This window comes from Homo sapiens, chromosome 17, assembly GCF_000001405.40.
Source record: "Homo sapiens chromosome 17, GRCh38.p14 Primary Assembly".
NCBI classification, from domain to species: domain Eukaryota; kingdom Metazoa; phylum Chordata; class Mammalia; order Primates; family Hominidae; genus Homo; species Homo sapiens.
The window spans coordinates 1,691,864-1,716,242 of record NC_000017.11 but is presented as its reverse complement, the minus strand read 5'-3'; the positions used below and the strand labels follow the sequence as shown (position 1 = coordinate 1,716,242).

At 52.0% G+C, this 24,379-nt stretch overlaps 1 protein-coding gene, 1 long non-coding RNA gene and 1 other non-coding gene across 6 annotated transcripts; all 3 read left to right on the top strand.

The window, feature by feature from the left end:
- MIR22HG (MIR22 host gene) lies at positions 33-4,739 on the top strand. Of its 4 annotated transcripts, NR_028504.2 has the most exons (4): positions 33-113; positions 1,790-1,872; positions 2,229-2,540; positions 3,844-4,739. It is a non-coding gene; the product is annotated as an MIR22 host gene (long non-coding RNA). The 4 variants fall into 4 exon arrangements; NR_028505.2 differs by lacking the exon at positions 1,790-1,872; NR_028503.2 differs by lacking the exon at positions 1,790-1,872 and having other exon boundaries at positions 3,348-4,739.
- Positions 2,256-2,340, top strand: MIR22 (microRNA 22). Its single transcript, NR_029494.1, has one exon. It is a non-coding gene; the product is annotated as a microRNA 22 (primary transcript).
- A 1,126-nt stretch (positions 4,740-5,865) lies between the features above and the next one.
- On the top strand, positions 5,866-13,427 carry TLCD2 (TLC domain containing 2). The gene is made up of 4 exons (NM_001164407.2): positions 5,866-6,176; positions 6,357-6,439; positions 6,662-6,744; positions 8,021-13,427. The coding sequence occupies exons 1-4, from the start codon at positions 6,001-6,003 to the stop codon at positions 8,471-8,473; spliced, it is 795 nt and encodes a 264-aa protein (NP_001157879.1). The 5' UTR covers positions 5,866-6,000; the 3' UTR covers positions 8,474-13,427.
- Positions 13,428-24,379: the final 10,952 nt, after the last annotated feature.

Sequence of the window (24,379 nt, the reverse complement as noted above, 5' to 3'; positions counted from 1 at the left end):
GAGCCTGGAGCCGGTGTGTGCTGGGTGCCGAGAAGAGACAGCGCCGCCGGCCGTGGGGAGCGGACGCAGTGATTTGCTCCCCCTCGTGCAGCAACCCCCACACCCAGCACCAGGTGGGTGTGAGCTGGCGACCCGGTCACGCAGCGGGGAGCCGCGGTAACGGGATGGAGGGTGAAAGTGGGGTCCGGGCGGCCACACCCAGCCCTTCCGGGAGGAGAAGGGGCGGCGGGGGCAGGGGCGCCTCGGGGAGAGGGGCCTGGACTGGCCGGGTTAGTGTGTCAGGAGCTACGAGGAAAGAGTCTGGGACGGGAGTCGTGGCGGAAGGGCTGGCGGAGTGGCGGGGGGCGGGGGGAGAGCCGAGGGGCCGGAGGGCCGGGGGCGGCTCACCCGGCGGCCCCCGGTCTGAGGATACAGGGGCCGGCCATCTAGCCTGGGGAGGGTCTGGACCCCCCGAGCGGGCGGCGAGGAGGTGCTTTGCCTCTGCCGGCGTTCACTGGGTCAGGGCCAGTTCAGCGCCCTGGCAGGGAAGGGGTCGCTGGGCGGGCCGGCCCCTCCTCTCGTTCTCTCCAGGGGATGTTATGTAAGGGGGGAGGGGAGAGGAGTAGGGGGCGGCGGTGCCGGGGCCTTATGCAACCCAAAGGTTAGGGTTTCACCGTGGTTGGGCGGGGGGAAGAGGGCAAGAGGAGGGCCTGGAAACTCTAACCCCCGCTCCCCAGACTAACTGGCCGTCTTGGGCCGAGAGAAGGTCACCTCTGCACCTCCCCCCAGCCTGTCCGATTGTGAGGCCCCTAGCCCAGGCCTGGCCCTGACTGCCTGGGAAGCCGGCTGGCTGGGTGGGGCGCCTGGGTTAGTCATCACTGGGCTGCCTCTCTCCCCACCTCTCGGCCAACTCTTGGCCCCTCCCCATGGCCTCCGGCGAGGCTGTCACCCCCACCTCCCTCCGGCCCTGGTTCCAGCCTCCAACTCCTTTGGCCTGTCATCCTGGCTGTCAGATTGGGCTAGGAGCTGTCAGAGTGCCAGAGGGTTGATGGAGCAGCTGGTCAGAGGGTCAGTGCCCTGGGCCCACCCCGCCCTGCAGCCAAGGGCACCTGCTTGGCACAGACTCTCAGCAGCTGCTGAGTCCTCTGGGTTGAACAGAGCTATCTCAGACAGAGGAAGGTCGGACGGAGTTGGACTGGTCACCCAGGGGAAGGAAGATACACAAAGTTCATGCCTCCCAAGAGGGTTTCGGAATTTGAACCGCACCCCGTATCCCCCAATCTTTCTTACCCTCTGAGTATAGAAATTCCAAGGCAAGACCGCCTTGGCCCCTCAGCCTGGCGTGGGCCATGCCCTTGGACTGAGTGTCAGCACGGACCCGCCCTCCCCAGCTCACATCCCCCGAGCCTGCCACGCCCCCAGCCCCCTCCCTGGGCCATGCTGCAGGGCCCGGCTTTTCCTGCTGATTCATGCGTTGGAACTGTGGGGGCGGGGCTTGGAACTTGGAACAAAGTTCAGACATGGAGGGGCCGGCAGACAGCCTGGAATTCATACCAGATGTACCCGGAATGCGCAAGCGGAATGCCTGGCATCTGAGAGTCCTGGGGAAGCTGCCCAGCCACCCTGCCCATACCTCCCTCCCCTCCAGCCTGTGGTCCCCTGCCCGCCCCTCACAGCCCCGGCCACCCTGCCGATACCTCCCTCCTCTCCAGCCTGTGGTCCCCTGTCCGCCCCTCACAGCCCCGGGGGCCTCTGCTGACCTTCTTTCAAACGCTAGGCCTCCTCCCTTCCTCACTCTTCCCCAATCCAGGCCCCCAGAACTCTCCTTCCAGCTGAACTCCCTGGGAACAAGTCAGTTGGGCTGATCACTGAACTCACATTTCTGGACCTGAGGTACCACACTTCTAGTACCTGCGTGCTGGTGGGGTGTGTCCAGGGTCCCGGGCCCCACCCTGTCTGAATGCTGAGGAGGCTGGGCCCCCAGGGGCCGCTAGGGCAGGGGAGGGTGAGAGCAGGACTGGGTTTCTCTAGACTCCAGTTCTGGAAAGAAGAGCAAGGGAAGTCTGTTTACAGCCACCTCTTGCTGCTCAGCGAGGTTAACAGCTTCCGCGGGCCCAGATCAGAGCTGCAGCCCTGCATTAGAATCTCAGAGGTCTACTGGGGCAGGACCCTGATGGCCAGCGAGTGGGTCAGCGTTGCAGCAACATGCCCTGCTCAGATCTTTCCCATTTTCCCTCCCTTTCCCTTAGGAGCCTGTTCCTCTCACGCCCTCACCTGGCTGAGCCGCAGTAGTTCTTCAGTGGCAAGCTTTATGTCCTGACCCAGCTAAAGCTGCCAGTTGAAGAACTGTTGCCCTCTGCCCCTGGCTTCGAGGAGGAGGAGGAGCTGCTTTCCCCATCATCTGGAAGGTGACAGAAATGGGCTGGGAAGGTCCGAACAGCAGGGTGGATGATACGTTTTGGGCAAGTTGGAGAGCCTTTGCCCAGATTGGCCCAGCAAGGAGCGGTTTTAGATTAGAGACACTGGCTGGATTGAGGAGTAGAAGGCTCAAACAACCCAAGGTTAGTTGGTCTTTGTGTGACAGTGGGAAGAAGTGGAGAGAACACTCTGTCTCCCCGACTTCCTTCTTGACCCTCCTTCCGTATCTTTCATTCTTCCCCACTGGCCTTTCCAGATGAGGTCCAAAAGTAAGCTCACTCTTCAGGGAAAAGTGATACTAAACCCAGGCGTGAGGAGTCATCCTTCTGCTCTTACTTTTCCCTGCATTTCCTTAGGCTGGCCCAGACTCTAGATTCCTGGGCACTTACCTGTATCTGAGACCCTTAGACCTCCTGTCTCAGTTTCTCCACCTGTGAGATGGGCAGTCACACAGATGAGTGTGCATGAGGGAATCAGAAGCCCATCTGGGTTGACTCAGAACCCGGGCTCTCCCCCTGCTGTGGGTGGAAACAAAACACCTTTTCACAGAAGCTGTTGTCCCTCCCCCATCCCTGATACCATCACCCAGAAGCTGGGTGGGGAATGGGAAGCTGGAGGAGGGGGTTAGAGTTAGACCAATGCGAGGAGCTAGTAAGAGCTCGCCTCTCCGTGACTTCCCCCCATGCAAGGGTGGCCCAAGGCTTCCCCTGATATCCAAAGCAGGACAGCAGCCCCTTGGTGGGATTCTAACTGCTGCTACTCTGTTTCTTTCCTCACTTTGCTTTCCAAGGTGGTATGTGATCCCCAGCTCAGGCCTGTGCAGACAGGAAATTCTCCCCTGCAGCAAGTAGGGGAGGTGGGTTGTGGGATGTGACCTCCTTCCAGATATCAGGCAGTGAGTGTAAACCTGCCACCTCCAGCCCTGATCCATTCTCACCTAGCGGCTACAGGAAGCTGTGTCTGTTCGATTTGGTGGGAGGAGATGTGCAGGGAGCTGTATCTTGTCCTCCGCTTGTGAAAAACTCAAGGATGTGGAGAAGAGTAGACCGTGGAACCCTGCTCTTCTGCAGCCAAGCTGAGGGGCAGGATGCGTGTGGGACAGTGGTAGAGAAGCAGGGGATAGACTCATAGGCTGCAACAAAGGTGACTCTGTCCCTGGACACTGCCTCCGTACTTTCTCCTTGCTTCACTGGCCACAGCATCTCCCTCCAGCCCTCGCTATGTGCCTCTGCCATCTTCACCCATCATGGAGCAGAGGTGAGGAGAGGCAGCCTGGGAATATGGAGACCAGTGAAGGACCAGGCCTGGAGAGCACAGGGTCCTACCTGGGCATCCAGCAGAGGAGCCCCTAAAGGCCAGGAGCACCCCAAGAGGAGGGAGGGCAGCCAGCCTCCATTGACGGCGAGCCTCCAGCCCTCTCCTACTTTGATCACCATTTCTCTCCAGGCTTTCTGCCTCCGAGATGTGGCACCATAGTGCGGTGCCCTGTGGCTTCACCGCCCTACTTCCACCTCCGCCCAGCCTGTAATGTTTATATAAGCAGCCTCAAGGACCAAGAACCATCTGCGAAAGGACACACACAGGAAATTCATAAAAGAAATCTGAATGGATAAAACCATGAAAAAAAGTATGCTTCATTAGTAATTAAAGAAAGGCAAATAGAGCTGGAAGCATTTTTCCCTTAGCAAACCATAACAGAAAAAAATAAGACCCAATATTGGCAAAGAGACTACTGAAAAAACATTCCCATACATTGCGTGTGGGAGTATACATCGGTGCAGGCTTCCTGGATGACAGTTGGGTGATATGTGTCATGTGGCCTAAAAGCCTCCATGTCATTTGACCTACGAATTCTATCTTTGGGAATTTATCCTAAGAAAATACTTAAGGATTTAGTTAGTGATAAGATGTTCATCCCAGCATTGCAATGGAGAAAAATGGGAAGCAATGGTTTGGTTGGGAATTTATTCCTTTTCTGCTGTAACGAAAGTTTGCAATAGGGGATTGCTTAAGTAAATTATTGTATCTCCATCCAGATGGTGGAGTACCGCGCAGACATTAAAAGTCATGTAAAAGAACATCTGACTGAAAGAAAAATGCTCCTTGAATATTAAAAGGTTGTAAAAATAGTGCATGTTATGTGATTTCAATTTTGTTTTTTAAAATATGGGTGTATGCTTGTATACGTAGAGCAGATAAAAAAGACGGAAGGCATACTAAAAAATGTTGAGTGGTTATCTTTGTATGGTGGAACAAAGTCACTGTAATTTTCATCTTTGGTTTTTCTGTAATTTCCAAATTTTCCACATTTTGTATTTCATATAATATAATTTAAGAGATCAGTGTTATTATTTAAACCTTTGGAGAGGTGGGGGTAGAAGAATGAAGGGAAGACCTCAGCTTTTTGGTGAGAAGGTTTGGTTGGGGCACCTCTTGGTTTATGAACTTAATTCTTTGAAGTAGCTGGAATCCTCCCTCTCAGCCTGCAGGAAACAGCTCTGACTTGCTGACTGTCTGCCAGCTGAAGAGGTGGAGTGGAGTAAGGTGGAAGGAAAGCAGTGCAACCTGGGGCTCTTCAGGTGGTGAGGGGCTGGGGGAGGCTCTTCCTCTTAAGGCTGGAGGGTTCTGGAATCCTAACCGCCCTGCTACTAAGAGCAGGACAGGTCTGTTTTTCTCTTCTGACTCTGTCCCAGCCTTGAAGGGACCCTGTGTTACCTTTCCTTGCCCTCGGATTGAAGATATTCTACCCACCCAACGGGTACCAAGCCCTTGGGGAAGGAAGTGCTTTTCAAGACTGGGGGCCAGCGATTCCCTTTTGCGTCCTCTTCCTAATGAGGCTCCTCCGTAGGGCCGAAAACAATGCTGGGGGTCGGGGCGGGGCCCAGTGGGTCGCTTCTCCAACATGGGGTCTCCTGGGGGTTGTGGGGGAGGGGGAGCAGAACTGCTGGAATTACAGGTTTGCCGGGATATGGTAAAGGCGTGGAAACCTCAGGAGGCCGAAGGGGTGGCTCCAAGAAAGTGGGGCACCCCGTCCCCACCACGGACGCGGGGAGGGAAGTGGGGGCGGCGGCCAGGCTCGGGCAGGTACGAGTGGGCTGCGCTAGCCTCTGCCTTGCAGGGTGTGGCGGTGGGTGGTGATGACGCTCAGCAGGTGAAAGTCGCGGGAGCCGGGAAGAGGTCAAGGTTCGTGGGTGGGGCCCGGGAGTGTCAGTTGAGGTTAGACTGGAGACCCAGGTCTGCAACTCCAGCGCTTCAGGACGCTTGGAGCTGGGGAGGACCCCTATTGGCGAACATCCCGGAGGCCCCCCGAGCTCCAGGGCATGGTCTACTGCCCGGAGCCCCCGAACCGCTCCCCCGGCTGGAGCAAGACGCAATCGGTGGCCAAGGCTCCGGGGGCGGCGGCCCCGCGGCTGCTCCAATCACCGCCCAGGCGAGGGACTGGGCGTGGACGAACGGGGAAAAGTTCCTGCTGATCCCAAAGGCGCGGCGGGGAGGGGAGCCGGGGCCCCAGCCCTGCCGGGAAACGGGTTCCCAGTCCCGGCCGAGAGCGCGGGCGCCGAGGGGACCGACCCGGACTCCCCGCAACCCCCCAACCGCCAGGCCATGGCGCCCACGGGGCTCCTGGTGGCCGGCGCCTCCTTCCTCGCGTTCCGGGGGCTGCACTGGGGGTTGCGGCGGCTGCCCACGCCGGAATCGGCCGCTCGGGACCGCTGGCAGTGGTGGAACCTCTGCGTCTCCCTGGCGCACAGCCTGCTCTCGGGGACCGGGGCGCTGCTCGGGTGCGGGCTTGGGGGCTCGAGGCGCACGGGGCGAGGGCGAGGGGTGGGAGGCTGAGGCCGGGAGACCCGCCGGGCGTCTCCAGAGCTGAGACTGGGGTGGGGGTGCGCACAGGGAGACTGCGGCCGGGGCCTCGAGAGGCTGACCATGCCCCCCCCCATGTCCCCACCCCATGCCCCCAGCCTGTCACTGTACCCTCAGATGGCCGCCGACCCCATCCATGGCCACCCGCGCTGGGCTCTGGTGCTGGTGGCTGTGTCTGTGGGTGAGTCTGCAGGGAAGGCTGGGCCGGTGGTGGGGATGGGGCGGGGGGCAGGTTCTGCTGTCCTTCCAGGTCCATTCCCCGCCCCCATGGGGGTTAAACGTTCCTGAAGGCTTTACCAAGGGAAAACTAAGAACTGGGAGAGGGGCGGGGCGGGGGGGCTGGAAATCCTCTCTAAGCTGCCCGGGCTCTGGAGCAGCCTAACCCCTACCCCCATGCCCACAGGTTACTTCCTGGCAGACGGAGCTGACCTGCTGTGGAACCAGACCTTGGGCAAGACCTGGGATCTTCTCTGTCATCATTTGGTGGTGAGACTCTGAGGGCAGAAGCCAGACAGGAAGGGAGGAGGGGAGCCCTGTCCAGCCCGAGGTTCCCAGTCTCTCCTCATTCTTTTTTTTTTTTTTTTTTTTTTTTTTTGAGACGGAGTCTCACTCTGTCACCCAGGCTGGGGTCCAGTGGTTCGGCCTCTGTTCACTGCAACCTTCGCCTCCTGGGTTCAAGCAATTCTCCTGCCTCAGCCTCCCACGTAGCTGGGATTACAGGCACCCGCCACCACGCCCAAGTAATTTTTTGTATTTTTAGTAAAGACGGGGTTTCTCCATGTTGGCCAGGCTGGTCTCGAACTTCTGACCTCAGGTGATCCGCCCACTTCAGCCTTCCAAAGTGCTGGGATTACAAGCATGAGCCACCGCCCCCGGCCCTCTCTTCATTTTGCTGTCCTATAATTTCCCACAGTCTCTGCCCCCAGCTGGTGCTTGGCTCCCAGTCTTAGGCTGAGTTAGGGGGAGGAGGTGGCTGCTGGCCACAGCTGGGGAGTCCAGATACCCACCAGGCCAGGGCACCTACCATGCCAGGGCACTCACCATACAAGGGCACCCACCATGCCAGGGCACCCACCATGTGAGCCTAAGGAGTTTGGGTGCCCCCACAGGTGTCCAGCTGATCACAGAAATGTGGAATATGGAGCTTTTCTGAGAAGGGGGTGTCCTGGTATAGGGTGTGGGTATGGGGCATGAAAGCCCTAGGCCAGGCACGGTGGCTTATGCCTATAATCCCAGCACACTGGGAGGCCGAGGCGGGTGGATCACGAGGTCAGGAGATCGAGACCATCCTGACTAACAGTGAAACCCCGTCTCTACTAAAAATACAAAAATTACCTGGGTGTGGTGGCGCGCACCGGTAGTCCCAGCTACTCTGGAAGCTGAGGCAGGAGAATTGCTTGAACCCAGGAGGCAGAGGTTGCAGTGAGCCAAGATCACACCACTGCACTCCAGCCTGGTGGCAGAGTGAGAGTCTGTCTCGAAAAAAAAAAAAAAAAAAAAAAAAAGCAAGCAAGCCCAGGAATGGGAGGTTAAGGGGGTATTAGGGGGTGAGACAGCCCCTCCCTGGGCCAAGCCTGGTTCCATCTATGGAAGGGTTGTTTCAAGGCTGCTCAGGGCCCCAGGATAAAGGTAAAAGCATAAAGGTCAGGTGTTTGGGGAGCCCCACAGACTGCGTGGAAGCCTCTTTCTTCAGGCCTGGGTTATTGGGACATGATGGCTGGCAGGTCATGGGGTTCCTCTGACCTGTGACCCTGGCTCCCAGGTGGTGAGCTGCCTCAGCACCGCTGTTCTGTCTGGCCACTACGTGGGCTTCTCCATGGTGTCTCTGCTCCTGGAACTGAACTCTGCCTGCTTGCACCTGCGGAAGCTGCTGTTGCTTTCTCGCCAGGCCCCATCCCTGGCCTTCAGCGTGACCAGCTGGGCCTCCTTGGCCACCTTGGCCCTCTTCCGCCTGGTCCCGCTGGGGTGGATGAGTCTGTGGCTGTTCCGGCAGCACCACCAGGTTCCTCTTGCTCTGGTCACCCTGGGTGGAATTGGGCTGGTCACTGTGGGCATCATGAGCATCATATTGGGGATCCGTATTCTGGTCAATGATGTCCTACAGTCTCGACCCCATCCACCCAGCCCTGGCCATGAGAAAACCAGGGGGACCAGGACACGTCGTGACAATGGACCTGTCACCAGCAACAGTTCGACTCTCAGCCTGAAAGACTAGAGAGAAGCCATGGGCCCCTCGCTGGGGGAGGTGGGGCCAGGACAAGGAGATGAGGGTCTTCCATGCACAGTCCCCCATCAGGGTGAGGGCCAGACTTGCTCATCAGAATCTCAGTTTCTCTTCCAGCTAACTCACATCCCTTCCCCTTCCTCGGATCTAAGAAGAAATGCTGATGTTGGATGGGTGGGAACCTGGGTTTCTGTTCACTGAAATCCGTCATCAGATGAGCATCCTTTCCAGCAAATAAACTCAAGAGGTACAGCTAGAGCTATCAGTAAAGGGTGGCAGGAGGCATGCAGCTGGAAGAAACTGCCAGTGGAGACAGAAGCTCTTTGCTTTAACCCAGGGACAGATGGGGGAAGGTGAAGTCCCACTAGGATCAGAGAGATCTGGTATGGGGCGGGTGGGGACAGAGAGAAAAGAGATCTCACCTATAACCAAATTCTGGCAGTGGGAGGAAGGTAGAGGAGGTGCTATCTGTAGCAGCAGAGATGGACGTGATAGTTGCCAAGAGACAGAACCTGGGCCACAGCAATTGCTGCTGATGTTTCTGGTTCTCAAAGCCACACTCCTGTTTTTCTTTTTCTTTTTCTTTTTTTTTATGAGACGGAATCTTACTCTGTCACCCAGGCTGGAGTGTAGTGGCACGATTTCGGCTCACTGCAACCTCAGCCTCCTGGGTTCAAGTGATTGTCCTGCCTTAGCCTCCCGAGTAGCTGTGACTTCAGGCATGCACCACCAAGCCCAGCTAATTTTTGTATTTTTTGGTGGAGAGGAGGTTTCACCATGTTGCCCAGGCTGGTCTCGAACTCCTGACCTCAAGTAATCCACCTGCCTCGGCCTCCCAGAGTGCTGGGATTACAGACGTGAGAACAGGCGCACACTCCTGTTTTTCTCCTTAACCCTGGTCCTGCTGTGTCTAGCCTTTTATTTTTATTTTTATTTTTAGTATCTTTTGACTTTTCTTTTTTCTTTTCTTTTTTTTTTTTTTTTTTTGAGACAAGTTCTTGCTCTGTTGCCCAGGATGGAGTGCAGTGGCTTGATCTTGGCTCACTGCAATCTCTGCCTCCCAGGCTCAAGCAATTCTCCTGCCTCCCACCTCAGCCTCCCAAGTAGCTGGGACTACAGGTGCACGCCACTGCACCAGGCTAATTTTTGTATTTTTTTGTAGAGACCAGGTTTTGCCATGTTGCCCAGGCTGGTCTCAAACTTTTGCACTCAAGTGATCCACCCACCTCAGCCTCCCAAAGTGCTGGGATTACAGACGTGAGCCACCGTACCCGACCCCTTTTGACTTTTCAAAGACAATTCGGATTCTTAGAGGAATGAACACAGGGCTGGTTTGTCTTCTTAGGACGGCACTGAAGTCTAGAATTACAGAAGGAAAGGTGCCCAGTACAGAGTTTTCCCAGGCCCAGGCTTTCATGGAAGAACAAGGGCAGAGGTAGACTGTGTGAGAGAAGGCTGCAGGAGGATAAAGGAATAGCTGGCCCTCTGGCTGGGCGCAGCAGCTCACGCCTGTAATCCCAGCACTTTGGGAGGCCGAGGCGGGAGGATCACCTGAGGTCAGGAGTTCAAGACCAGCCTGGTCAACATGGTGAAACCCTGTCTCTACTAAAAATACAAAATTAGCCGGGCATGGTGGTGCATGCCTGTAATCCCAGCTACTCAGGAGGCTGAGGCAGGAGAATCGCTTGAACCCAGGAGGCAGAGGTTGCAGTGAGCCGAGGTCGTGCCACTGCACTCCAGCCTGGGCAAACAGAGTGAGACTCTTGTCTCTAAAGAAAAAAAAAAAAGGAAGAGCTGGGACTTTTCTGAGATACATTCATAAAGTCTTCTTCCTCCCTGCTGCTTCTGCTGCGTTTTTTTCTGTTGAACAAGACCCCTTCCTTCCCAGAACATCGAGGTGACGGGAAGTGCCCAGCAGATTAAGTCTGCTGTTCCACTAAACAATGGACTGAGAGAGGCAACCCTTAGCCATCCACAGAAAAGCTACATGAGCAAAAGCAAGAGACAGGAAGATTGTCTTCAAAAAAAAACAAAACAAAACAAAAACCTTGCTAAGAAGCGGAGGTACAGAAAGATACGAAGAATGACAGAGACAGACATACATAGATTGAGTGATAGATAGAAAGAGAGAAGGATTATTCACATAGAGGTGACAGAGGCAAAGAAGGATGGAGGGCAAAAGAGACAGGCCCTAGCAGAAATATGGAGAAAGGCTGTCATAGATCCTGAGAGACACCAAAGTCACAGAACTGATAAAAGGGTTATAAACAAAAAGGACCAGAAAAATAGAAATGAAGGCCGACAAGAAGAGACCCCAAGGCTGAAAGGCACAGAGAGTCTAGACAGTGAAATAGAGTGAGTGACAAGGAGAAACACCCAGGCTCAGGAGTGATGGAGGAAATACTGGCAGATAGAGAGATCAGAAGAGCAAGAGGAGAGGTGGGAACAGAGAAGAGCGGGGACGAGTCCGGGGAGCTGAGAAGCAGAAGGCGGAGGAGGCAGTCAGTGGGAAGATTCACTGACAGAAGAGACCAGGAGATATGGGGACTTGGAGGCAGGCAGAAAGACAAAGGACAAACAGCTGCAGCGCAAACCCTAAAGACAGGCTGACAGTAACCGGTCGGCAGAGACTGGTAGGAAGATAAGGACAAGTCAGAATCAGGGGTGTCAACTGAGATGCAAATATAGGCAAAGGAGCTGACAAAGAGAATCACAGAGAGAAAAAAAAGGAGGAGAGCACAGAACAATTTAAATATCCAGGCTGGGCATGGTGGGTCACGCCTGTAATCCCAGCATTTTGGGAGGCCGAGGCAGGCGGATCACGAGGTCAGGAGATGACCATCCTGGCTAACATGGTGAAACACCATCTCTACTAAAAATACAAAAAATTGGCCGGGCGTGGTGGCAGGCGCCCGTAATCCCGGCTACTGAGGAGGCTGAGGCAGGAGAATCGTTTGAACCTGGGAGGCCGAGGTTGTTATAATGAGCCGAGATAGTGCCACTGCAGTCCAGCAGGGGTGACAGAGTGAGACTCCGTCTCAAAAAAAAAAATTGAATATCCAAAGAACAAAGAAGAGGCAGGAACCCAGAAATGAAAAGAGGAGGAAAAATACAGGTGTGAAAAAAAAATGAGAGGGATTGTGAGAAGTCTCCATCATAGAGTCATAAAAACAGGCGCAAAGGATGAAAATACATCGAGACTGAGGAAAACACAGTTGGAAGGAGCTAAACACAAGCAGAAAATAAGAGCAGAGCATTTAAATGTAATTAGATAAAAACCCAAGAGGCAAAGGTATAGATAGTGAGCTAGAGAAACAATGCAGAATTTTGTCAGAGTCTGTACTTCTAGAAGTCATGTTTGCTGGCTGGGCATGGTGGCTCACGCCTGTAATCCCAGCACTTTGGGAGGCCGAGGTAGGAGGAGTGGTTGAGCTCAGGAGTTCAAGACCAGTCTGGGCAACATATTGAGACCTCCTCTCTACAAAAAAAAAAAATTTTCTTTTTTCTTTCTTTTCTTCTTTTTTTTTTTTTTTTTTTGAGACAGTTTCATTCTTGCTGCCCAGGCTGGAATGCAGTGGCACAATCTTGGCTCACTGCAACCTCCACCTCCTGGACTCAAGTGATTCTCCTGCCTCAGCCTCCCTAGTAGCTGGGATTACAGGTACCCACCACCACACTCGGCTAATTTTTGTGTTTTTAGTAGAGACAGGATTTCACCATATTGGCCAGGCTGGTCTCAAACTCCTGACCTCAGGTGATCCGCCCACCTTGGGCTCCCAAACTACTGGGATTATATGCGTGAGCCAACACACCCGGCCAAAAAAAAATTTTTAATTAAAAAAAAAAGTCATATCTGCAAAACTCAATTTGCCATCTTAACTGAATGCCTTGATTAACAAAAATGTTGTCTGCCTTGAGTTTTTAAAGAAAAAGAAATATGACAAACTCATGTGAGGAATCTATTCCTTAAATATCTGTTGAGGTTGATATGAATTGATTCTAAGTCATACACCTTTTCTTTGGCCACTGGTATACATTCATGATGGTTTGAGTGAGTGTCCCTTTTGGTAATACTTGATAGTGTCTATGAGGCCGGGCGTGGTGGCTCACGCCTGTAATCCCAGCACTTTGGGGGACCGAGGCAGGTGAAATCCCATCTCTACTAAAAATAAAAAAAATTAGCCGGGCGTGGTGGCGGGCGCCTGTAGTCCCAGCTACTCAGGAGGCTGAGGCAGGAGAATGGCATGAACCCGGGAGGCGGAGCTTGCAGTGAGCCAAGATCGTGCCACTGCACTCCAGCCTGGGTGACAGAGCAAGACTCCGTCTTAAAAAATAAATAAATAAATAAATAGACAGATAGATAGATAGATAGTGTCTATGAAGGCTGCCCAAGAACTTGACCATTAGGGAAACATGGCTGTTTCTGTGGATTAACTAGTCAAGCCCATACAGGAAGAGTGAGGTCAGCTCCCAGGTGGGGCAGGATGTAGTGGACGCTTGGAAGAATTTGGGACCACACACGAATTGCTACCATGGTGAGCCAGTGAAACTTGAGGAAGGCAGGACTGGATTGTGATTACAACTGAGTAAGTAGGCAGAGAATTGGAGTGTGGGCAACATAAAGATGATGTGAATCAAAGAAGAATGGTCAATTAAGACCCTAAAAAAAGGACGTTCAAAAATGCAGAGGTTAAAAAAAAAAAAAGCAGAGATTGCCAGATGCTCCATTTGGTAGGAGTCTGCTTAGCACAGTGGTGCTTCGCCAGACTTTACCGTGGCCCAGGGAAATGGTCCTCAAGACGGACTCCATGTCTACCAAGCTACTTGCTAATGATTTCTTTGTCCTCCAGGACAGGGAAGGGGCTTTTCTGGATGGGATACATTGATATTTTATGGCCTTGAAACACTATCCTGATTATAAATTAATAAATTGCTATGCAAATAATTGCATTAGTTGCATCAATCTCTTATGAGCGTGGTTACTTTGAGTTACTTTTTGGCTCCAATGGTGTCCTGATTTACAATTCGATGCTAGATTGTGGAGGCTTTGCCTTGGGAAAGTTTCCACCCTGACGTGTCCTGATACCCTCTATAATCAAAAAGCAACTCCTGGCTGGGTGCAGTGGCTCATGCCTGTAATCCCAGCACTTTGGGAGGCTGAGGCTGGTGGATCACTTGAGGTCAGGGGTTCGAGACCAGCCTGGCCAACATGGTGAACCCTCATCTCTACTAAAAGTATAAAAATTAGCTGGGCGTGGTGGCAGGCGCCTGTAACGCCAGCTACTCGGGAGGCTGAGGCAGGAGAATCATTTGAACTCAGGAGGTGGAGGTTACAGGGAGCTGAGATTGCACCACTGCACTCTAGCCTGGGAGACAGAGCAAGACTGTTTCGAAAAAATAAAAAAAGCAAATCCAGTGTCAGGCGAGTTGGTTGATTCCTGTAATTCCAGCACTTTGGGAGGCTGAGGCTTGGGCCCAGGCGTTCAACACTGGCCTGGGTAACATAGCAAAACCTCATCTTTTTTTTTTTTTTTTTTTTTCTGAGACAGAGTCTCACTCTGCCACCCAGGCTGGAGTGCAGTGGCTCAATCTCAGCTCGCTGCAGCCTCCACCTCCTGGGTTCATACGTTTCTCATGCCTCAGCCTCCCGAGTAGCTGGGACTACAGGCGTGCACCACCACACCTGGCTAATTTTTGTATTTTTAGTAGAGACGGGGTTTCACCATGTTGGCCAGGCTGGTCTCGAACTCCTGACCTCAAGTGATCCGCCCACCTTGGCCTCCCAAAATGCTGGGATTACAGGCGTGAGCCATCACACCCAGCCGGATTCAGAGTTTAGAATGATTTTCTTTTCTTTCTTTTTTTTTGTTTTTTTTGAGATGGAGTCTCGCTCTGTCACCCAGGCTAGAGTGCAGCGGCACGATCTCGGCTCACTGCAAGCTCCGCCTCCCGGGTTCATGCCATTCTCCTGCCTCAGCCTCCCCTCCGCCCGCCCCCCTCCCCCGCGAGTAGCTGGGACTACAGGTGCCCGCCACCACGCCCGGCTAATATTTTGTATTTTTACTAGAGACGGGGTTTCACCGTGTTAGCCAGCATGGTCTCGATCTCCTGACCTTGTGATCCGCCCACCTCGGCCTCCCAAAGTGCTGGGATTACAGGCGTGAGCCACCACGCCCTGCTAATTTTTATATTTTTAGTAGAGATGGGGTTTCACCAAGTTGGCCAGGCTGGTCTCGAACTCCTGACCTCAGGTGATCCACCTGCCTCACCTCCCAAAGTGCTGGGATTACAGGCGTGAGGCACTGCGCCGGGCCTGCAGAATGATTTTCAGTGCCAAGGGTTGAAACCAAAAGAATCTTGTAGCCAAATTAATCCTGAGTCAACAGAAAACTTCATAACTGAACTGTCAAAACTTTATCACATAAAATCTGGATTTTGTTGGGCTGAAAATTAGAAGTCCTCATTTTGCAAAAAACTATGTAAGGGAAGTTACTCTTTAGAGAGGAGCTCTTGTGTTGAAATGAATATTTATTTAGGAGCATCCTCGGCCGAACATTTGTCGTGCCCCTTCCCCATGTCAGGCACCTTTTATTTATTTATTTATTTATTTAATTTTATTTATTTATTTTTGAGACGGAGTTTTGCTCTTGCTGCCCAGGCTGGAGTGCAGTGGCGTGATCTCAGCTCACTGCAACCTCTGCCTTACGATTTCAAGAGATTCTCCTGCCTCAGCCTCCTGAGTAGCAGGGATTACAGGCGCCCGCCACCACGCCCAGCTAATTTTTTTGTATTTTTGGTAGAGACAGGGTTTCACCATGTTGGCCAGGCTGGTTTCAAACTCCTGACCTCGTGATCCGCCTGCCTTGGCCTCCCAAAGTGCTGAGATTACAGGCGTGAGCCACCGTGCCTGGCCATCAGGCACCTTTTACACATTATCCCATTTAATCTCACACAACAGAGCTTCACCTCATCTTTTGTTTTTATTTTTATTTTTTGAGACGGGGTCTCACCCTGTCACCCAGGCTGGAGTACAGTGGTGCAATCGTAGCTCACTGCAGCCTCCAACTCCTGGCTCCTGGGCTCAGGCGATCCTCCTGCCTTAGCCTCCTGAGTAGGTGGGATTACAGACATGCATCACTACACCCAGATACATTTTTTTTTTTTAAATAGAGACAGGGTTTCACCATGTTCCCCAGGCTGGTCTCAAATTGCTGGGCTCAAGCAATCCACCCATCTCAGCCTCCCAAAGTGGTAGGGTTACAGGCATGAGCCACTGCGCCCAGCCATTTTTTTTTAAATTGAGACAGGGTCTCACTCTGTCACCCAGGTTGGAGTGCAGTTGCACAAACATGGCTCACTGCAGCCTTGACCTCCTGGGCTCAAGCGATCCTCCCACCTCAGCCTCCTGAGTAGCTGGGACCACAGGTGTGTGCCACGATGCCTGGCTAATTTAAAAAATCTTTTTTTATTTTTCCAGAGATGGGGTCTTACCATGTTGCCCAGGCTGGTCTCCAACTCCCGGCCTCAAGCAATTCTCCTCCCTTGGCCTCTCAAAGCGCTGAGATTATAGGTGTGAGAGGGAGTCTCACCATGTTGCCCAGGCTGGTCTGGAATCCCTGGGCTCAAGTGATCCTCTTGCCTTGGCCTCCCAAAGTGCTGGGATACACGCATGAGTCACTGCACCTGTTCTCATTCCATCTTTCAGATGAAAAAACAAACAGGCTGGGGCATGGTGGCTCATGCCTGTAATCCCAGTACCTTGGGAGGCCGAGGCAGGCGGATCACTTGAGGCCAGGAGTTTGAGACCAGACTGGCCAACATGGTGAAATCCTGTCTTTACTAAAAATACAAAAATAACTAAGGTGAGGCCGGGCGCGGTAGCTCACGCCTGTAATCCCAGCACTTTGGGAGGCCGAGGCGGGCGGATCGCGAGGTCAGGAGATCAAGACCATCCTGGCTAACACAGCGAAACCCCATCTCTACTAAAAATACAAAAAAATTAGCCGGGCGTGTTGGTGGGCACCTGTGGTCCCAGCTGCAGCTGAGGCAGGGGAATGGCGTGAACCTGGGAGGCGGAACTTGCAGTGAGCTGAGATCGTGCCACTGCACTCCAGCCTGGACAACAGAGTGAGACTCCATCTCAAAAAAAAAAAAATTAGCTAGGTGTGGTGGCAGGTCCCTGTAGTCCCACCTACTTGGGAGGCTGAGGCAGGAGAATAGCTTGAACCCCAGAGGTGGAGGTTGCAGTGAGCCAAGATCGCGCCACTGCACTCCAGCCTGGGCAACAGAACAAGACTCCATCTCAAAAAAAAAAAAAGATTATCCAGTCTGTTCTTTTCATTTTGCAGAGAATTGAAGGAACTGAAGCCTAGAGAGGTTAAGTGACTTATCCAAGCATACTCAGCTAGTCTGTAGCACAGCCCGAATCAGAATCGAGGTCTTTGGTTTGGTTCAGGGCTCTTTCCTATACACTATTTTGCCTCTTTCTTTATAGAAAGGCCACAGAGTGGAGAAATTTCAAGGTAGAAAGGTAGGAGTCAGCTGACAACTAAACATCCATCAAGTCGGATAAATTGCCTCTGAAGTGATATATATAAGTCAGGGTGTTTCAGTTTGAAAGGCAGACTCTAGGCTGGGCACGGTGGCTCACGCCTGTAATCTCAGCACTTTGGGAGGCCGAGGCTGGCAGATCATGAGGTCAGGAGAGCGAGACCATCCTGGCTAACACAGTGAAACCCCGTCTCTAATAAAAATACAAAAAATTAGCCGGGCATGGTGGCGGGCGCCTGTAGTCCCAGCTACTCAGGAGGCTGAGGCAGGAGAATGGAGTGAACCCAGGAGGCGGAGCTTGCAGTGAGCCGAGATGGTGCCACTGCACTCCAGCCTGGGCGATAGAGCGAGACTCTGTCTCAAAAAAAAAAGGCAGACTCCTATGGTCAAGTATTGATTTCTGCACTTTTCAGGAATGCAGTAATTGTGGAGGGCAGAGGTTCATTTCAGCTTTCCTCTGTAGACATGAACATCACTTAGCTTGGTACTGTGGAACATATACTTTTTTTTTTTTTTGAGACGGAGTCTCACTCTGTTGCCCAGGCTGGAGTGCAGTGGCATAATCTCGGCTCTCTGCAACCTCCACCTCCCGGGTTCAAGTGATTCTCCTGCCTCAGCCTCCCGAGTAGCTGGGACTACAGGCACATGCCACCATGCCCAGCTAATTTTTTGTATTTTTAGTAGAGACGGGGTTTCTTTGTTTTTTGTTTTTGTTTTTGTTTTTGTTTTTTTGGAGATGGAGTCTGAAGCCCAGGCTGGAATGCAGTGGCGAGATCTTGGCCCACTGCAGGCTCTGCCTGCCAGGTTCCATTCTCCTGCCTCAACCTCCCGAGTATCTGGGACTCTAGGCGCCAGCCACCACACCCGGCTAATTTTTTGTATTTTTAGTAGAGACGGGGTTTCACTGTGTTAGCCAGGATGGTCTCGATCTCCTGACCTCGTGATCTGCCTGTCTCGGCCTCCAAAAGTGCTAGGATTACAGGCATGAGCCACCGCACCCAGCCGGAGATGGGGTTTCAGCATGTTAGCCAGGATAGTCTCCATCCTCTGACCTCATGATTCGCCCGACTTAGCCTCCCAAAGTGCTGGGATTACAGGCTCGAGCCACTGAGCCCGGCCGATAGTAAATAATTTCTTTGGCTGAGGCTTTGCCCCTCACTCTGGCCTGCCAGTCTGTGCCCTTAAGAGCACTCCCTCATCTCCTAAACCTTCACCGGTTGGCATTGCTAATCCTGGGGCTTGAGAGGCTGGCATGGCAACTCTCTCTGCCTCAGATCCCAGGTCAGGGCACTGCTAGAAGAGGATAGAGAAGCCTGCAGAACTGGAGGGCCACAAATTCCTGCTGCACTGACGCAGGCCAGCCCTGCTACCTAGCTATTCACTTGCTCTCCTTACGGCTTGTCCAAACATCGTTTTCTTCAAACTCCTCCCCTTCCTTCCCCAACCCCGACTGTGTGGAATCCAAATATTTCCACCTCAACAGCAAACAGGAGTGGGGTGCTGGGGAGATGGAGGAGATGGGGGAGGGAAACAGTCTAGGGCCACTGCAGCAGCATTTCCTTGAAATATGTTGAATCTAAAAATTCATATAAGTCCGGCTGCGGTGGCTCACGCCTATAATCCCAGCAGTTTGGGAGGCCAAGGCGGGAAGATGACTTGAGTCCAGAAATTTGAGACCAGCCTGGGCAATATAGTGAGAGCCCCATCTCTACAAATAATAAAAATATTAGCCAGGTGGTCAGGTGCGGTGGCTCATGCCTATAATCCCAGCACTTTTGGGAGGCCGAGATGGGTGGACTGCCTGAGCTCAGGAGTTTGAGACCAGCCTGGGCAACATGGTAAAACCTCGTCTCTACTAAAATACAAAAAATAAAATAAAATAAAATAAAATAAAATAAAATAAAATAAAATAAAATAAAATAAAATTAGCTGGGCGTGATGGCAGGCTCCTGTAGTCCCAGCTACTCGGGAGGCTGAGGCAGGAGAATTGCTTGAACCCAGGAGGCGGAGATTGCAGTGAGCCGAGATCGTGCCACTGCACTCCAGTCTGGCAGACAGAATGAGACTCCATCTCAAAAAAAAAAAAAAAAAAAGCCAGGCACAGTGGTACACATCTACAGTCCTAGCTACTCAGGAGGCTCAGGTGGGAGGTCACTCAGCCTCCTGGAGTTGGAGGCTACAGTAAGTCATGATTGTGTCCTGCACTCCAGCCTGGGCAACAGTGGAGTCTGGAGTCTGTCTGTAAAAAAAATTAAAAAGATAAAATAAAATACCATTTCAAATACAATTACAATACTTGTTTTTAAAAAAAATTTTACAAAATGACAAGTGAAACTGTCAATTTTTTTTTCTTTTTTTTTTTTTTTGAGACGGAGTCTCGCTCTGTCGCCCAGGCTGGAGGGCAGTGGTGCGATCTCGGCTCACTGCAAGCTCCGTCTCCCGGATTCACACCATTCTCCTGTCTCAGCCTCCCGAGTAGCTGGGACTACAGGCGCCTGCCACCACGCCCAGCTAATTTTTTGTACATTTAGTAGAGACGGGGTTTCACCATGTTAGCCAGGATGGTCTCGATCTCCTGACCTCGTGATCTACCCGCTTCGGCCTCCCAAAGTGCTGGGATTACAGGCGTGAGCCACCGTGCCTGGCCCCACGCCTGGCTAACTTTTTTTGTATTTTTAGTGGAGACGGGGTTTCACCGTGTTAACCAGAATGGTCTCGATCTCCTGACCTCATGATCTGCGCGCCTCGGCCTCCAAAAGTGCTGGGATTACAGGCGTGAACCACCGCGCCCGGCCCAATTTTATGATTTAAGGAAGATGTGCCAATTTACTCTGTGGCTCCAAGTATCACTGGGACAGTTCATTTTTCTTTATTCTCTGTCTTTTTTTTGTTTGTTTTTTTGAGATGGAGTTTTGCTCTTGTTGCCCAGGCTGGAGCACAATGGTGCGATCTTGGCTCACTACAACCTCTGCCTCCTGTGTTCAAGCGATTCTCCTGCCTCAGCCTCCCGAGTAGCTGGGATTACAGGCACCTGCCACCATGCCCGGCTGTTTTTTATATTTTTAGTACAGACTAGGTTTCACCATATTGGCCAGGCAGGTCTTGAACTGGTCTCAAGTGATCTGCCCGCCTTGGCCTCCTAAATTGCTGGGATTACAGGCGTGAGCTACCGCACCCAGACTTTATTCTCTTTTTTTTTTTTTTTTTTGAGACGGAGTTTCGCTCTTGTTGCCCAGGCTGGAGCGCAATGGCGCTATTTTGGCTCACGGCAACCTCCGCCTCCCAGGTTCAAGCAATTCTTCTGCCTCAGCCTTCCGAGTAGTTGGGATTACAGGCACCAGCCACCATGCCCGGCTAATTTTTTGTGTTTTTAGTAGAGACGGGGTTTCAGCATGGCCAGGCTGGTCTTGAACTTCTGACCTCAGGTGATGCGCCCACCTCGGTCTTCCAGAGTGCTGGGATTACAGGTGTGAGCCACCTCGCCCAGCTGACTTTATTCTCTTTATAACAAATATTTATAAAGGGCCTACGACATGCCAAGCACAAACTATGAGGTGTAATAGTGAGTCAATGAACCAGAGCCCTGGCATCAGAGAGCCTGCACTCAGGACTGTGTTAGAGAGTGAGGAACTGAGAAAGTAGGAGTCATTCGGCAGAGGGAAACCAGGGGTGACAGATACAGAAACAGGTCATCCTTGGCCGGGTGCGTTGGCTCACGCCTATAATCCTAGCACTTTGGGAGGCCGAGGCAGACGGATCACTTGAGGTCAGAGGTTCAAGACCAGCCTGGTCAACATGGGGAAACCCTGTCTCTACTAAAATTACAAAAATTAGCCAGATGTGGTGGTATGCACCTGTAATCCCAGCTACTCAGGAGGCTGAGGTGGGAGAATCGCTTGAACCCAGGAGGCAGAGGTTGCAGTAAGCCAAGATTGCACCACTGCACTCCAACCTGGGTGACAGAGTGAGATCCTGTCTCTCAAAAAAAAAGGAAAAGAAAAAGAAACTGAAGAAACAGGTCATTCAAGTACCTGTAGCCTGAGAATGAGCAGATGAATCTAGAGGATGGGATGGTTGCATTCTGACATCCAAAGGGTTCTCCAGAACCCGACTCAGGCGCTTTCCTTCCAAACCTGCATCCAGTCCACTCAGTCTGTGCATGACCCTGCCATCGACGCACTGTGCAAATCGGGAACTGAGGAGTCGTCCCTGAACAATGCCACCCACCTCCCACCACAGATGCACACTTCCAGTTATTGCAGGACGGCTTTCCCACCCATCCATCCTTTCCATCTCCGCTGTCCCATCTGGTCCGAGTCACCATCATCTCTAGTCTAAGCGACATAATAATGGCTGGCCGGGCAGGGTGGCTCATGCCTGTAATCCCAGCACTTTGGGAGGCCAAGGCGGGCGGATCACGAGGTCAAGAGATCGAGACCATCCTGGCTAACACGGTGAAACCATGTCTCTACTAAAAATACAAAAAATTAGCTGGGCGTGGTGGCGGGCGCCTGTAGTCCCAGCTACTCGGGAGGCTGAGGCAGGAGAATGGCATGAACCTGGGAGGCGGAGCTTGCAGTGAGCAGAGATCGCACCACTGTACTCCAGCCTGAGCGACAGAGTGAGACTCTGTCTCAAAAAATAAATAAATAAAATAATAATAATAATAGTAATGATAATAATAATAATAATAATGGCCTCGTAACTATTCTCCACAGAACAGCCAGTCTGTGATTGTCACGATGCAAATCTGATCATGTCATTCCCAGTAGCTCTTCCTACTTCTTAAGAAAGAAGCATAACTCATCACATGGTCTGTGGCCTTCCAAGGGCTCCCCTCTTGTCCACTCACCAGACTCAGGGTACTTCCTATTTCATTCTTTTTTTTTTTTTTTTTTTGAGACAGAGTCTCACTCTGTTGCCCAGGTTGGAGTGCAGTGGTGTGATCTCAGCTCACTGCAGCCTCTGCCTCCTGGGTTCAAGCAATTCTCCTGCCTCAGCCTCCTGGGTAGCTGGGATTACAGGCACCTCCCACCACACCTGGCTAATTTTTGTATTTTTAGTAGAGATCAGGTTTCACCATGTTGGCCGGGCTGGTCTCGAACTCCCAACCTCAGATGATCTGCCCACCTCTGCCTCCCAAAGTGCTGGGATTACAGGCATGAGCCACTGTGTCCGGCCCACTCTTGTTTTTTGAGACGGGGTTGTGCTCTGTCACTCAGGCTGAATTGCAGTGGTGCGACCTCGGCTCACTACAACCTCTGCCTCTCAGGTTCAAGCGATCCTCCCACCTCAGCCTCCTGGGTAGCTGGAACTACAAGTGCACACCACACGCCCAGCTGATTTTTTTTCTTTGTATTTTTAGTAAAGATGGGGTTCTGCCATGCGGACCCGGCTGGTCTTCAACTCCAGGACTCAAGTGATCTGCCCACCTTGGCCTCCCAATGTGTTGGGATTACAGGCGTGAGCCACCACACCCAGCCCGTTTCAGTCTCTGTGGCCTTAGTTCATTTATTAAATACACCATGCTCCTTCCTTATTCAGAAATCTATTCCTATTTCATTGCCCAGCGCCTGGTAGGCTTTCCTTCTCCCTCACTTCCATCTTCCTGGCTTCCCTCCTCCTACTCACTCCCTTTGTCTTACACATTCTCATTTTGCAGTGCTTATTTACAACATCTCCTCTTTTTTTTTTGAGACGAAGTCTCACTCTGTCACCAGGCTGGAATGCAGTGGTGTGATCTCAGCTCACCGCAACCTCTTCCTCCTGGGTTCATGCGATTTACTGCCTCAGCCTCCCTAGTAGCTGGGATTACAGGCACCCGCCACCACGCCTGGCTAATTTAGTGTTTTTAGTAGAGACAGGGGTTTCACCACGTTGGCCGGGATGGTCTCGAACTCCTGACCTTTTGATCTGCCCACCTCAGCCTCCTAAAGTGCTGGGATTACAGGCATGAGCCACTGCACCCGGCCTTTTTTTTTTTCAAATTCAGACAGGATCTCATTCTGTTGCCCAGGCTGGAGTGTAGTCTCCAGTACAATCTTGGCTCACTGCAGCCTCCACTTGCTGGGCTCCAGCCATCCTTCCACCTCAGGCCTGAGTAGCGGGGACTACAGGCGTGAGACACCATACCTGGCAAATTTTTGTATTTTTTGTGTTGAGGTTTCGTCATGTTGCCCAGGCTGGTCTTGAACTCTTGACCTCAAGTGATCCTCCTGCCTTCGTCTCCCAAAGTGCTGGGATTACAGGAGTGACCCACGGCAACATCTCTTTTCCCAAAAAAACTTCTATGACTCTTTTCATAAAATCAGGTGAGATCTCTGGACTTCTCATTGGAAGCACTTACTATAATTTTAATTGAAGAGCCAATTATGGACATTTAAAGGAAGCCCCTAACATGAAATAAACTTTTTTAAAAGAAGATGAAGAAAAAGAAAAACACGGATAAAGCAAACAGTATGCCTGGAGAATAAAACTTCAGAAAAGCTATTTTCCTTATAGAGACAAGAGAGTATGTTGTAGCCATGAAACAAGAACATGATCCTACAAAAGAAGAACTAAAAAGAGGTGGGTGCGGTGGCTCACGTCTGTCATCCCAGCACTTCAGGAGGCCGAGGCGGGTGGATCATGAGGTCAGGAGTTCAAGACCCTCCTGGCCAACATGGTGAAACCCCGTCTCTACTAAAAATACAAACAATAGCTGGACGTGGTGGCAGGCGCCTGTAACCCCCAGCTACTCGGGAGGCCGAGGCAGGAGAATCGCTTGAACCCAAGAGGCGGAGGTTGTGGTGAGCCGAGATTGCGCCACTGCACTCCAGCCTGGGCGACAGAGCAAGACTCCGTTTTTTTTAAAAAAAAAAAAACTAAGAAAGAGTACTTAGTATTTGGAAATGAAAAGTGTGACACTTGATGGAAATGAAAAGTTCATGGAGGAGTTGGAAGAAAGTCTCCCGGAAAGAAGAGTAATGATGGGGATAGAATTAGAAAAGATGAGACAATCGTGGGACCAGTCCAAAAGACCCAACATCAAAATAACGGAAGATCCAGAAAGAGCAAACTGAGAAAAGAAAAAAATGAAAATCGTCAATTAAATAATGAGATATGGCCGGGTGTGGTGGCATGCGCCTGTAATCCCAGCCACTCAGGAGGCTGAGGCAGGAGAATAAAGTCCAACTCATCAAGCTTCTCTCTCTTTTTTTTTTTCATTTTTTCCTGAGATGGAGTTTCGCTCTTGTTGCCCAGGCTGGATTGCAATTGCATGATCCCAGCTACTCTCCAGAGTCTGAGGTAGAAGAAGCACTTGAACCCCAGAGGCAGAGGTTGCAGTGAACCCAGATCGCGCCATTG

Bases quoted from the DNA above. Each gene is read 5' to 3' on its own strand.
- TLCD2 (NM_001164407.2), top strand. From the start codon at position 6,001: ATGGCGCCCACGGGGCTCCTGGTGGCCGGCGCCTCCTTCCTCGCGTTC. The intron at 6,440-6,661 runs GTGAGTCTGCAG...CCATGCCCACAG, and splicing joins GCTGGTGGCTGTGTCTGTGG to GTTACTTCCTGGCAGACGGA. The intron at 6,745-8,020 runs GTGAGACTCTGA...CCTGGCTCCCAG, and splicing joins TTCTCTGTCATCATTTGGTG to GTGGTGAGCTGCCTCAGCAC.